Source organism: Homo sapiens, chromosome 15 (genome assembly GCF_000001405.40).
Source record: "Homo sapiens chromosome 15, GRCh38.p14 Primary Assembly".
Classification (NCBI taxonomy): domain Eukaryota; kingdom Metazoa; phylum Chordata; class Mammalia; order Primates; family Hominidae; genus Homo; species Homo sapiens.
Window position 1 is genome coordinate 84,428,338 of NC_000015.10, and position 15,108 is coordinate 84,443,445.

Here is a 15,108-nt window from a genome sequence, read left to right on the forward strand (position 1 = left end):
ACAAAATTTTTAGGCAAAACAGCACCTTGAAACAATTTAATAATGTATTACATTACAGTAGCATCACAGCAGCAGTCAATAATGCCACTTTAGACAAAAATCAGTATTTCCATTATGCATTCTGTGTATAAGAATTCATAAATCGGTAAAAGTCATTCTAAGAAAACTTGGCAAATACAGCTTTGGACTGGAATTGGCATTTCTTTGTCTACTTTTCCTTCCCCTAGATTCTTTGTTTTAAACTACAGTATTCATATTTTAAAATGTTTTAAATTATTTTAAGACGTTAATATAGCAGTTACATTTTTGAATAGTTATTTGAAAGTGACTGTAAGATAAAGTTTTAGAGAATCTATTATGGATAGGGTTGATTTACATTTTCACATTTTCTAAAAATCAGCTTTGGTTTTAGAACTGATTGTTTTTCATTTTGGGAAAACCTACCAGGTTTAATCAATTACTTTAAAAATAATTATCATATTTTGCAGTCTTTAAATAGGTGTTTTGATTCTTTACTCCCTACAGAAATTCAAATTTATTCAGTTGAAGTCACATTTTAAAATTCTATGTTCCTGCTGAACTCTAACCTTCTAATGTTGCCTTCTAAGCAAATTAAAGGCTGCCTTATACTGAATGAGGTAGAGAACAAATACTTGGCTGAATGAGGTACTGCAAAAGACTGCATGCACTTTGAAGAAAGACTTGAGTTATTGTCATAGGATTTCCATTCTCTTTAGCTTTTTCTTAAACATATGACAAAATACCTACACAAAGAGTCGTATTTGAATTAATATAGTATATTTATTTTTCAGACTGACATTCATCTTAAATATGCCAGTATGTGATTTAATCCACAGGTACCTGATGAACACATTATTGTCAGATTGGTTACAGTTGCTAAACGCTATCTGAAGGTCATTCCTATTCATTTATACGTGTCAGGGTAAAAGTGAAGCGATTTGAACTATAAAAATACCTTTGAAATAATTTATCAATGTATTAGATAAGCTCAGTTTCAGAATGATAAACAAAAACTGTTAGACCAAATAACGTGGCTAATTAACAGTGGTACGATTTCTAGCCCGAGGGTTTAAAATGGAGTTAAAGTAAGTGTCTTTAAACTGAACTCAAAGAATGCAAAAGCGGCAAGTTCAGAAAAGGCAAGAACAGGACCTTTAGTCCATTTTAAGCCATAAATATTACACAAAATATGCCTCTAACTGAAACTGAGAGGTATAAAAACATATTTCACTCTTCGTAAAGAACTTTGTGAGGAAATATAACTCTGTGATTGTATAGACACTTTCCTCATGACACTTTGACAGTCACAAACAGTAGATTGCGCTGCAGTTTGTAAACATTTTACGTTGCATAAACTGCTCCTTGATTTTCAAATGTAGTATAATACTGTCTACTAAAACTCCTTTTTGTTTCAACTAAGTACTCTCACATATATTAGTTTATAATAATGTTTGTTATTATTTTTAAAGTGTTCTCCATTCAAGGAAAAGAAGTAAATTCCTATGTCAGATGGTTGAAGACTAGCTATTAGCCAGAGAGGTCTAGATGGTAAAATCCATCTTCTAGCCTCAAATAAGCTCCATGAACACAGAGGAATGCCAGGTGTCACACAGCTTTCCTTCACTCGAATTCATTCTTGACTAGAGCCTGTATATGCCTGTTCCAGGGGCATTTAAACTCTTAAAGGATTTCTTCTGATCTTTACTAAATACATTAAGGAGAACGCCAACCAGTGCCCTTTTGTGTACTGGGACATGTAGTCATGTGATTAAAACAGGGAACATGAACTCTGACTTTAAAATGTATTGTAGATATAAATGCTCTCAGCTAGAAAAGGTTTTCCACATCCACAGTCATGATGGGAGCCTTTCATTCCTCAGAAATAATCCCTTTTCAGGTCATCAAAAAAGAGTACAACTGCCACAGCTCATGAGGCAGTATCTTCATGAGCCCAGAGCACATACAAATCCTAAGGGAACTACCGTAGTACAGCGCTCATTCTTGGCACCGGAACAAATGAAACATATTCTATCCTGCACACACCTGCCAAAGCAGGCCACTTTCCTCTTCTGGGAGATTTAAAAACCTCCCCAAAATGTTATTACTCCCATCCCCAATACACAGAAAAAGGGGGAAAGGCTGTTTCCAGTGCTCCACCTTTAAACAACTGTAAATGTCAGTACTCACAGTGGCATATTACAAAGTAATAGACCGCGCACTTGAGGGCAAACTGCATATTGAGCTAATGAAGAGCTCACTGTGATTAGGATTCGATCAAACATAACAGCAGAACATAAGGAAATTTTATCTGAATTCCGTAATGAATATACAGGCTGTACTAACATTAAAAAAGCATGGCAGCCTATCCCAAACCAGCAAGAACAGTTGTGTGCATACAGTGGGTCTTTGTGTGTTTGAACTCCCACCACATAAGGGCAAACTCGATATGCATGCTAACGTCCTATAATTATCAAATTAAAAAAATGCTAAAAGATGCCAGAGTGAACATGAGAGAAACACCCACTCTCATTTAACTTTTTACAAATAAATTTAAATTATAAATTAGAAACACAAATAAATTTAAACTATAAATTAGAAACACAAATAAATTTAAACTATAAATTAGAAACACAAATAAATTTAAACTATAAATTAGAAACACAAATAAACATAAGTGGCTCTAACATTCAAATGAAGTAAATGAATTGTGTAGGATATTAACCCCTTAAATGTTTTGTTTTTTTTTTTCAATTCCTTGACCCGCTCTTAGATGATGGTGATGTTTAGCTCCCTGTTCTCCGCAGCCCGAAAAGAATGGCATGCAGCCTCTCCTGCTCCTCCTGCCGCCTCTCCTGTACCAACAGCTTCTCCACTCAAGCCTGGGTGCTCCTGGGGAGTCCTGCATTAGAGGAAGCAGCTGCTGGATCTGCTGTGCAGTGGGGTTGTCATGGGGGAGAACCCTCCCTGTCCTCTCCCGGTGCAGCCTCCATGCTATCAGTGAGGCTCAGCCCACTAAGATCTTCAGAGAGAGGGAGGGGGGTGGGAATCTGGGCACAGTGCGAGCCTCCCCTGCTCCTGCCTGCCCACCCCGCCTGAGGGCTCTACTCACCACCCTGCTTGTCCGCACATCCAAGCTCCTTGTGGGACTGGGGCTCCAGCTACTGGTCTGGCTGCTGCTGCAGACTCGGAGCCTCTTGGCTCTTCAGCTCCACCTGCCGGAAGACCCTGGGCATGAGGACATGTGGTGGCTGGCTTCCAGATTCCTGGCCCATTAATAGGGTAGCGAGGACACTGTGGGGCTCTGTGGCCTGCCCAGGCCCCTGGCCCCTTGCTCCAGGCCTAAGAGACTGTCTCCCTTGCCTAGAACCCCATGCCTCCTTCCCTAGCATCAAATCTCACGTCCTTTTTCCCAGCATTTAAACTGTAGGCCACAGACTGGTGGAAAAGCAGGCGGAGCCAACCACCATCTGCTAAGTGTGCTACATGCCTAATGTTTCCACGTATTATCTCATTTAATCCTCAGCACCTCTGCAAGGAAAAGGCTAACTTCCTTTTGAAGTTAAAGAAACAGAGACTTAGAGATGCAAAGTAGTTGAATTATGACCAGTGGAACCGAGGCCGGAATCCAGTTTGAATCTAAGGAGTCTTTTTTGTTTGTCTGTTTTGTTTTGTTTTGAGAGAGTGTCACTCTGTGTCCCAGGCTGCAGTGCAGTGGTGCAATCTCAGCTCACTGCAACCTTCATCTCCCGGGCTCAAGTGATTCTCGTGTCTCAGCCTCCTGAGTAGCTGGGATTACAGGCATGCACCACCAGGCCCGGCTAATTATTATTTTTTTTTTAATTTTAGTAGAGATGAGCTTTCACCATGTTGGCCATGTTGGTCTCAAACTCCTGACCTCAAGTGATTGTCCTGCCTCAGCCTCCCAAAGTGCTGGGATTGCAGGCGTGAGCCACCACACCCGACATAAGGAGCCTCTTATACCACTGTCTCTTCCTCTGTGATTGGGGGGCTCCATGCCTCTAGCTGGGATGATGATGTCCAGACCTGGGAGGACCCCAGGGCTACCCACCTCTAAAAGTCAGAGGGCAGGAAGCAAGAAACAGTCATAGGACTGCCCCGGAGGGTGCTGGGGTCACCTGTCCCCAGGCTGCAGCTGCCTGTGGCCTGGCACCTCCCCTCCCCAGAGGCTGGTGCCCGCCTCCCACATCTTCTTGGATGGGTCGGAGGTTACAGTCTCTTTCAGCTCACCCGACTTCTTCAGCTCCTTTACTTGCTGCTCCAACTGCAGTGTGCTCTTGTTCTCGTTGTTCTGGACAGAGAGAAGCAATCAGTGGCCACCCACTAAAACTGGAGACCCCAGAACTTAGTGTCTGCCTCCCATGGCACCGGGAAGGGTGGAGGCAGGTTAGAAAAATATCCCCTCTCTCCCACAGCCATCAGAGCGGGGCTCTGGCTCACAGATGCCTTTAGAAGTACCATTTCATGTGAAGGCTACAATGCCCCATTTTACAGGTGGGGAAACAAAGGCCTTGAGGGCTAGGGAAGAGGGCAGCCTCCCCAGGTGGGGCAACGCACCAGCTCCTCGAAGCCGCTGCGTGGCTCGGCCCGCTGCTCGTACAGGGCTTCCCACCCCAGCTCCAGCATCCTCTCCAGCTCCCGCAGCCTCTCCAGCTCCCGCAGCCTCTCCAGCTCCTGCAGAGTCTACTGCTGCCACAGCCTCTCATCCTGTTGCCGAAGCCTCTCCTGCTCCAGGAGCTCCTCCACCTCGTCCAGGAGCTCCTCCACCTCGTCCAGCAGCCTCTCCCTCTCCAGCAGCCTCTCCTGCTCCTCCTGCCGCCTCTCCTGTTCTAACAGCTTCTCCACCTCTTCCAGCAGCCTCTCCCTCTCCAGCAGCCTCTCCTGCTCCTCCTGCTGCCTCTCCTGTTCTAACAGCTTCTCCACCTCTTCCAGCAGCCTCTCCCTCTCCAGCAGCCTCTCCTGCTCCTCCTGCCGCCTCTCCTGTTCTAACAGCTTCTCCACCTCTTCCAGCAGCCTCTCCTGCCCTGGCAGCTTCTCCTGTTCACACAGCCTCTCCTCCTGTTCACGTAGCCTCTCCTCCTGCTCTCCTCATGTTCACGTAGCCTCTCCTCCTGTTCACACAGCCTCTCCTCCTGTTCACACAGCCTCTCCTCCTGTTCACGTAGCCTCTCCTCCTGTTCATGTAGCCTATCCTCCTGTTCACGTTGCCTCTCCTCCTGTTCACGTAGCCTCTCCTCCTGTTCACGTAGCCTCTCCTCCTGTCTCCTGTTCAGGAGACTCAACATCTGATTGTTTTCCACCTCAGCCTGGAGCTGTCTTCCCACACTCTCTAGCTCCTTCCTTAGGTGGTTGGTCTCATCTTGTAGCTGCTCTACCTTAGATGGCCCTGCTGGGGGCTCTGGGGCCAGGGGTTCAGCTGAGAAAGGAAGCAGACAATAAGGGCCTCTGGATTCTCAAAAAAAAAAAAAAAATCCTCCCTTCGGTGCACAGCTCCTCCTCTCAGGCTTCCCAAACTTGGCCTCACTGCTAATGACTCCTCACACCCGGATGGTAGCCAGTCTTCCAAGTCACTTTCAGATAGAGAGCACTGTGGGTGGCTGACAATGGGCACTCCTCCCTCTTTACTGATGGGGACACTGAGGCTCATGGAGATGACAAGACTTGTCCTCCCCTGGCACAGACCTCTTTCCCTCTGCCTCAAAGCCCTTCCATCCACCCACCTCCCTGGGGCATTCTAAGTCACCCCCACAGCCCTCTAATGCCAGTCCAGCTGCCAGGTCATGCCAGCCCCATCTTACCCGTCTGGTTTTTGAGTTTGAACAAGCTCCTCCCAAGCTTCTGTACCAGATGTATCTCATGCTTCTTCTCCTCCTTAGATGTGCGAACCTGCCCAAAGCAAAGGGGGAAAAGGGCCCTGGAGGGAGGGGCTGGTGAACCTCCAGAGACAGAGTTTGAGAAGGGCCCACCCCCCTTCTGCCAGTTTGTGATTTAGAAACGTGCATTCATTCAACAAACATTTACTGAGCATGTACAGGCCAGGTACAGTTCTTCATAGCAGAGATATAAAACAGCAAAGGACAGACAGGAGCCCTTGGCCCTGAGGTTTCCATTCTAGGGGCCTTTAAATCTCTGACTTTCAGAGCTAACCGAGACCTTTGATACTCTCTACCTCCTCCAGAAACACGAGCATAAAGAGGAGAGATGGCTTGTCCAGACTCAAAAAGCAAATTAGGGACTGAGGCAGGGCAGAAATATGGACCCCTGACAACCAGTCAGGCTAGTGCTTCCCAGAGAGGTGACAACCCCAGGGCATGTGTGGCAAGGACTAGAGCAGGGGTGTCTGGAGAAGAGAGAGTCAGCAAAGAGGGCAGTGCAGAAGACCCATGCTGCATGTTCTGTGCTCTGGGGTCCCTCCAGGTGAGACCTGGGTGCCCAGCTCCCCATTTGCCCTTGGCATCAGGGGCCCCTAGCTCCTTTCTTCAGGGCCCCAAGAGGAAACTGGAGTCCAGGATTGACCAGCTGTAATCAGGGGACCCCACTGGACTCTTACCAGTGAATTGATGTTTTCAGTGAGTTGACTGATTATTGCGGAGCTTGAATCCAGGGCCACTGCTAGTTCTTGGTACTGGCTCTGAGGTGCATGCAGAGAGAAGGAGTTGGAGGAAGATTGTGGGGAGGGGTAGAGAGAATAATCATTAGGGCTGGTGGGGGTGTGTGGGCTGCCTCAGCTGGCAGAGGGGCAACAAGCCCCTGCTGTGGGAGGAGGTTGGAGGGCTGGCCTGCAGGGTCACTGCACCTCGGCCCAGGGCCTCTTACCTCCAGATCCTCCAGGGTAGTAGAGGATGCACGGCCCTCCCCGTAGATACCTGTTGCTGACTGCAAGAGATGAGAGTGCACATGGAGATGTTCTGTCCCCCCTCACTGTCTAAGCCCTCTGACTTCCTTTCTTCCCCCATCAACTGGCAAAAGCTTCTTTTCTGCCTATCTTGGACCCTTTTTCCCATAACTCCTTTGTGCCAACTTCTCTCGTGGTTCTTATCTCCCCACCATCCCACCCTGGGGCCCTTTCAGTGACTCCTAAAGGGACAGCCTGATGGCAAGTGGCTCTTCTCATTGGCCTGGCTTCCCCTTGAGACTGGGGATGAGGAAAATCAAACAGCAACGACCATTTCCTCGGTGTCCTGGGTGTTTGCAGCAGGCCATGTACTAAGGATTCACATAAAAGCAACAATAACGAATCTCATTTAAACTTCACAAATGGAAGTCAAAAAATACCACCTCTATTATACAGATGTGAAAAGAGAGGCCCAAAGACCTCAAGCAACTTGCCCTAAATCATATGCTAATCAATCCCTAATCAATTCTTAGCAGATGGAGAGGCAGGATTCAAATCCAGAATTCTTAACCAGTACCCAACAGTCCATCTACAATCTTAACAATTACCCTCTACTGCCCCTTGGGCCCCCTGTCCCCAGGACCCTGGCCCGCCGAGACTCACATCCCCAGGTGAGTGGTAACCACCAGAAGTGGCTGTGTCAGGGCTACTGCCATTGATTTTCTTTTTCCTGTTAGCTCCTGCTGGAATGCCAGGGCTCTTCCTCTGCCAATATGCTTTTAACTGTGGGAAAGAAGAGCGGTAACACTCATGAGAATGATCAGCCCCTACAGCCACATCCTCCTTTACAGTTTTGACAAAATACCCTTATATACCATCTGATGTAATGCCACCAACAACTGTACAAGGTGTTGTCACAATCACTTAGTGACTGAGAGGGATTGATATCATGGATAGAAAAAAAAAAAAAAGAAAGATCAAAAAAGGCAATACTGGAACTTAAACTCAGTCCTCTGACTCCAAGCTCTGGGGTTTTGCCATGAATCAGCAGCTTCCAGGGACCAAAACCAGGGGCAGAGGTAGAAAAGTAAACATTAAGCAGGCAGGAACTGTAGGCCGTGTGGTTTAGAGTCATACATCCTCACAGGTCTGCTAGCGTGAAGAAGCGTGCCAGTACCTCTCACACTTTCATATCAATGTGTCCTCATGGCAGAAGGCAGCTTTTCTATTAAATCTGGGAATTTATCAGAAAGAGGACAACCCAAGCCTCATTTCAGAGCGAAGTCTGGTATACGCTTGGAAACCTATGTGTCTGTCATCCCTAAGTACATTAATGCATTTTCTCAAGAGAATCAAGGGGAAATGATGCTTCAGAAAGATGTCCCACATTTATCCTGTGGCACTCAAAGTACCCCAGGTTGAGACGATATGAGGAAGATTCAAGCTGTCAAGTTCAGTTTCCCAAGATCTATTCCACAGAAGATGAGCAAATCTCACTTCAGAGGCCACTGACTGAAGGGCAGTCTGGTCCCAGAACCGTGGAGAACTCAGAAAAAAATGTTAAAGTCTCTCTGGAAAGTAGAAGCCTGGGAAAAAACCAAACCAAACCCATTCTCCCATTGCCACCCAGAGATACTGTGAACATTTTGAGCTCACAGGGGAAGTGTAGGCTTTTCCCACTGTCAATGTCTATGTTAAGGGAGTAAGGCAGCCTGAAACCTCTTGCTCCTAGGTCCCATAGTCTCCACTCCCCTTCCAGCTGGAAATTTGTGCTGCAACCAGAGGAACCAGAAATGGGGTGAGAAAACTTAGGGGACTGGGTTGTAAGATCAAAGGCCGGTCTTGCAGCAGTAATGACAGTTCCTAGGGGCACTGTGACATCATTGCATTCCACTCCTCCCAGGGGAGGGGACCACATCAGCGCGATGCCCGAGTCGCTGCTCCACGATGGGGGAGGGAAACACACGGTTTCGACCCAGGTCCTCAGAGACGCCAGCCCAAGAAGCCTAGGGAGGTCGAGCTTGGGGCAGCAGGAGGGGAGGGCAGAGTCTGCAGTAGGGAGCCCCGGGAGTCACCAGCCCAAAGCCACCCAGGGATGACTGGTGAGGGCAGGGCCTGGGGCTGGGGGACCCAGGTCCTGGGAGACGCAAGCCCAAAGAGCCCAGGGAGGTTGGGCTTGGGGTGGCAGGAGGTGAGAGCTGATTATGGAGCAGGGAGCCCCAGGAGTCACCTGCCCAAAGTCACCCTGGGGTGATTGGCAAGGGCAGGGACTGGGCTGCTTGCTGAAGGGGTGGGGCTGACTGACTAGGCTTTGGTTGGGGGAGCCCAGAGGGGCTGGGGTTGGGGGGCCCCATCTGGTATGCCTCAGGAGTGGTATGGACTCTGGCACAGGTCTTGTCATCGGAGGGGATCTGTGGCTGGGTTGGGGGCCATGACCTGGTGTGTTTTACCTTTTTCTTGGCTGCGGCCAATTTCCCCTGTTGTGTTTTTTCTGACATCGCGGGGTGGGGAGGGAGGCGGGGTTGGGGCCACATCAGCGAAATACCAGTGAGCACTGCTCAATGCCTCCAGTCACCTACCAGGCAGCTGTGCAACTGAGCCACAGGTGGCGTAACCAGGGCACCAATGGAACGCAGAATAGGGGCGTGGCCTTAATGCTCCAAGCCCATTGGTCAGTGAGAAAGATGAAAGGGAAAGGAGGCGTGGCCAGGCAGCAGCATGTCCAGAGGGACCTGTGGCATCATAAGGAAAGCTGCCCATGCAACCGCTGTCCCCGCCCACTCAGAGAAAGGGGAGGGGCCGCCCACTCTGGGAGAGGGGAAGGGCTGGGTTTTGCTTTAAAACTTTTAAAACTGTAAAAAATAAACTTTAAAAAATATATGTGTATATACTTTATATATATGTGTGTCTGTGTGTGTGTATCTATGTGTTCCTCCAGAGCTGTCTTCATTATGCAGCTTCTGTGCAAAGTCTGTGATTTTGGCCTATATTTTTCATCTTCAAATGGAGTACAAGAATTACCAGTATTACCTTAACTGAGATATAGATCCTATAAAAATGGAAAATCCATAGCATGCTTGATGATTAATGAAGCCGACTATAGTATCCGACATTCCAATAAGACAAAATAATCACAACAATTTCTCTTTTTTGGAAAAATGTTTGTCTTATTCTCCTACATTATTGTTAAGATTTCTTTTAAAAACAAGAAACATGTCTAATATCTTTAAAAACACAAAGCTTTTGGGCCGGGTGCAGTGGCTCACGCCTGTAATGCCATCACTTTGGGAGGCCGAGGTGGGTGGATTGCCTGAGGTCAGGAGTTCGAGACCAGCCTGGCCAACATGATGAAACCCTGTCTCTACTAAAAATACAAAAACTAGCCAGGCGTGGTTGCGGGTGCCTGTAATCCCAGCTATTTGGGAGGCTGAGGCAGGAGAATCACTTGAACCCAGGAGATGGAGGTTGCAGTGAGCCAAGCTCACGCCACTGCACTCCAGCCTGGGCGACAGAGCAAGACTCCATCTCAAAAGAAATAAAATAAAATACAAAATAAGTAAGAACACAAAGCTTTCAATTTAATAACCACTTAAAGCTCTTTACTGGTTTAAGAGAATTACAAGGCCCATTTTTCTAGAATCACCTGGCCTCTCTAAGCCTTGCAAATGAAGCTGAATTTCTCACTTGATACTTGGCTCTCACTTGCAGTCATGAAAACCAAGAATTTGTTATGTCACTGTGTATTGCTTGTTACCTGAAATCCACACTAGGCTGGGATCAAGGGTTGAATCTTTCATGATTTTCTCCATAACCTGTGTGCTTCTTATCCCACACCAAACTAAGCTTTTTTTCTAGAGCTCTGCAACTTACAGTTAGTATATGAGAGCAGTTCTCAAAAATGTAGTCTCTGGACTAGCAGCTCCAGCAGCACCTGGGAACTTCTTATAAATACACATCCTCCGGCCCCACCCTGGACCTGATGAATCAGAAACTCTGGAGTAGGGCTCAGCAATCTGTGCTGCAGTAATCCCTCCAGGTGTTCAAGAACCTCTGGCATACAGCAGGTAGAAAAATGTGTTTCCTTCTGTAGGTCCAAAACCAGGGATACTATATGTTTTCTCTATATGAAACAATGACGTGCAATTAAAAGACATAAATCTCCTTCCTGCTCCCACCTTCCAGCCAATGTGTTTTATTTTTATGAGTTAAATAAGAAAACAATCAGAGATTTCGTCTAAATCGCATATTTACAGGTATCAGTTCTCATCCAGCCTGATCTTATCCAATATCATTTATATTCTCTTACATGTGAAGTTTTAGAGAAGGATCTTCACAATGTAAGACTCAGGCACACTAGCAGTTCTGTAATAAAACACCAAGTAGATCAGAATGTCCAAACTTACTGGAGAAGAAAAGTGGAATCATTGGCTATATTTTCAAATTGCAATAAACAGGATATTAAAGTTTTGAATTTTTTTCACCTTCATCCTTCCACGTTAATAGAATTAAGCCAAAATACTTGTCTTCCAAAGCCTCTAGCCAGGCAAAATTTTACTATATTACTTCTTGCTTTTCAATGGCTATAAAGCAGACTCCTGGTAGGCACATTTGGTATACCTGCAAAGATGAAGAACTAAACAGTTCCATCTGTTCAATACTGAAACAAAAGTCCTGCAAACCTCGGATGGTGAGTGTAATACTTCAGCACTAGCACCAAAGCCTCAAATATGAAAAGATACCAAGAACACCACTAGCAAACAAAACTAAACTCTCGGCTGGGAGCTCTAGTTCATGCCGTAATCCCAGCACTTTGGCAAGCAAAGGTGGGAGGATTACTTGAAGCCAGGAATTCAAGACCAGCCTTGGCAGCATAGTGAATTCACACCTCTACAGAAAGTTTTTAAAATTAGCTGGGTGTGGCAGCACACTTCCTGGGGCAGATGTGCCATTGCTGGAAACTTCTCTATGGAGAGTACCAAGTACTTCTACCTGTAGCATTTTCCCTGGCTGGAATCCTGCAATTATCACAGTAGCCCGAGATCCAAGAAGGCAGAGCAGGAGCATCCTGTCCCCTCCCCAGCAGGTGCAAGGGAGGCTGGGGGGTGAGGCACAAGCCCGTGGGAGGGTGAGGAGCAGGAGGGATGCATGGTGAGCCTCTGTTGACTGCTTGCTGCCTCAGCTGGAAGGTCAGGACCAAATGTCTATTACAGGTTAAATTACAGAAGTATTTCAGATTTTGGATTTTTTTCAGATTTTGGAATTCGAAAATCTGAAATCCAAAATGCTCCAATGAGCATTTCCTTTGAATCTGGCCTTCGAACATCATGTCGGCACTCAAACAGTTTTGGATTTTGAAGCATTTCAGATTTTGGATTTTCGGATGAGGGATGCTGTATTATCTTCTGAATGAGGCCACTCATTCAGGAAAGCCCAGAGCTTGGGGACGTGGAGCTGCAGACCAAAGAGGTGATTTCTGTAGTGGCTTTCAGTGCGGAAGGGCCTACAAAGTGGTTTAAAGCAAGCCACAAAATAGGAAACCCAATATTTAGCTAATGGAACTCTGATAAAACCTGCTCAAGATGTCTGTCTCTACTAATTCAGATGGAGCCAAGCCAAAGCATCATTATTATTTTAAAAAGGCACCAATCCCTCTGCAAAAGCACTGAATTATATCATGATACAATCATCAATTGTACCATGAATCACCATCAGCGGTGGTCTTTTAGGGATATGAAGAAGGGGTTTTCACAATACATCGCATGACACACCATCTTCCAAATCTCTAAACATTTCTCTCCACAGCCCAGTCCTCTCCATAGTTGTCCAAATCCCTCCCTCTTTTCTCTTGTTGTCTCCAAAACTCAAAACCATGCTCTGACTTTCTATATCCTGCCCTCCCCTTCTTGGACCATCTGGGAAGCCCCCTGCTTCCCCAGGGTGTCCCCTCCTCCCCTTCTGGGATCAGTCATCTTTCCTCAAATGGACCAGTTCGGCCTCTCTTAGTTTCTCCAACTCTGCATCTCAACCTTTCTCCCTTCACTACACAATAATGTCCAGGAGGCAAAGAGCCCACAAACCTGGGAACCTCCCTTTCCAGAAGGGAGGTTCTGGAATGACTACAAATATTTGGTTATGATTTTCTTCCCTGCCACGCCTGTTTTCATGGGCAGTGCTGAGCCCCGGTCCTGGCAGAGCTCAGAACCAGGCTCTCATGAGCTGGGGCAAGTGGGGCCTAGGGAACCTCTGGGTTGAGGACCTTGCACCCCACTCTGCAGCTGCCCTGCTGATTTGGCTCATGCAACCTCTCCTCCTGGGCTCAAGTGATCCTTCTACATCGGTCTCCCAAGTAGCTGGGATTTGGGCTACCACGTTTGGCTAATTTTTGTATCTTTTAGTACAGATGGGGTTTCACCTGTAGCCCAGGCTGGTCTCGAACTCCTGGGCTCTAGTGATCTACCCTCCTCAGCCTCCCAAAGTGCTGGGATTACAGGTGTGAGCCACTGCGCCCGGCCTTGTGCCAGCTTTTAAATATCAACAAGGACAAATTAGAGAACAGTGGAAGAGGGTGAGCAGCATGATGAGGTGATACAGAAATAATTTCACATGAAGAACTGGGCATGCCTGGCTTTTTTTTTTTTTTAAGCTATTCTGGGTTGGATGCTGAGGCTCACACCTGTAAGCCTGTAATCCCAGCACTTTGGGAGGCCGAGGTGGGTGGATCACCTGAAGTCAGGAGTTTGAGACCAGCCTGGCCAACATGGTGAAACCCTGTCTCTACTAAAAATACAAAAAATTAGCTGGAATTGGTGGCATGTGCCTGTAATTCCAGCTACTCGGGCAGCTGAGGCAGGAGAATCGCTTGAACCTGGGAGGCGGAGGTTGCAGTGAGCTGATATCGTGCCATTGCACTCCAGCCTGGGCAACAAGAGTGAAACTCTGCCTCAAAAAAAAAAAAAAAAAAAAGAAAGAAAGAAAAGAAAATATATCTATGCACCAGAGCTCAACACTAGGTTAGGAGCATTTCTGAGATTTGGAGCTATTCAACCATGGAAGTTCCTGGCACATACATCAGGTATTCACAATACCCTTTCTCAGGTGTTTGGTCACTGCTAGTGAGCCTGCCTGGATCAGTGTTTCCCAAATGGCAGTCATTTGCATCTTTGCATTTTTTTGGGGGGGGGGGTTGTGGGGGTATATACCATACCAGATTTTTTAAAAATTGACATTAAAAATACATGTATAAAATGTGTAAAGTGCACTAATCTAAAGTGCACTGGATGTATTTTTTATTGATGTACATACTTTTGTTATCCATCACCCAGGTCAAAATACAGAATCAGCACCACAGAGGGTTCCCTCCTCCTCCTTCCCAGCCAATAATCTTCTCCTCCTACCTAACCAACTGTTCTTACTTCAATCACTGTCAACTAGTATTTTACATTCTTGAACTGCATATAAAGTGTCTCAAGTTTCACTTAACACTTTTCTTGAAATACACTTGTTTTTTGCCACTTTTTATTTGACCTAAGAAGTAACATTAATGAAACAATGATTTGACGTGATAGGCATTTCCCTCCTAATGAGCACTAAAACACTTAACTATTTGAAAAAAGAAGTTTCTCTGTGTACCAGCTAATATATTCTCCTCGGCCGCCGTTGGTACACGGACCACATTTTGTTTCTCAAAGCAATCCGATGATTTCTGAGGTCCTTTGCAGCTTGAACACGGAACGACTGTGGTGATCGAGTAGCCAAAAGTTCACGGAATGCACTGTCACAATTGTGATTCCGCCATAGCGCCGTGCATCCATCCAACACTTGTTTAATACCTATATTTAATACCTAATACCTTAGACTGTCCTAGGCTGTGGACACAGAAGACTAAACCCCACTTCCTGAGTTGAAGTGGGGGAAATAGAGGAGTAAATCATTTCACGATGTGTGGTTAAATGCTACAGCTCAGGTAACCACGAGCACACAGAGAAAGGGCAGTTTCTAGAAACAGGGCGGAGAGGAGACCGTGAGTGGGCATTTCCCAGAGCAGTCTCTGCCAGCCACCCTGCTGTGATCACTTTGCCACAGAGCAGCCCCGGCGGTCAACCTCAGCCTCCCTTAGCAACCTGAGCGCCCCGCCCAGGTGCCTTACTATTGGTCTCGTGGAGCGGGATGGGCAGCTCTGCCGTGCAATCCCAGCTCGCAGCCCTTGCTCCGCGTGTACTCACGGGAGGACTCGC

General features: G+C 46.7%; 1 protein-coding gene across 1 annotated transcript; it reads right to left on the bottom strand.

Moving 5' to 3' along the window:
- Window positions 1–21: 21 nt before the first annotated feature.
- Window positions 22–9,685, bottom strand: LOC102724117 (golgin subfamily A member 6-like protein 4). Its single transcript, XM_047433424.1, is given in 10 exon segments — window positions 22–2,920; window positions 3,131–3,233; window positions 4,270–4,330; window positions 4,597–5,124; window positions 5,127–5,455; window positions 5,838–5,925; window positions 6,590–6,670; window positions 6,856–6,915; window positions 7,538–7,657; window positions 9,325–9,685. Coding segments are annotated over 10 exon segments (1,587 nt in total). The 5' UTR covers window positions 9,409–9,685; the 3' UTR covers window positions 22–2,787.
- Between the last annotated feature and the right edge of the window lie 5,423 nt (window positions 9,686–15,108).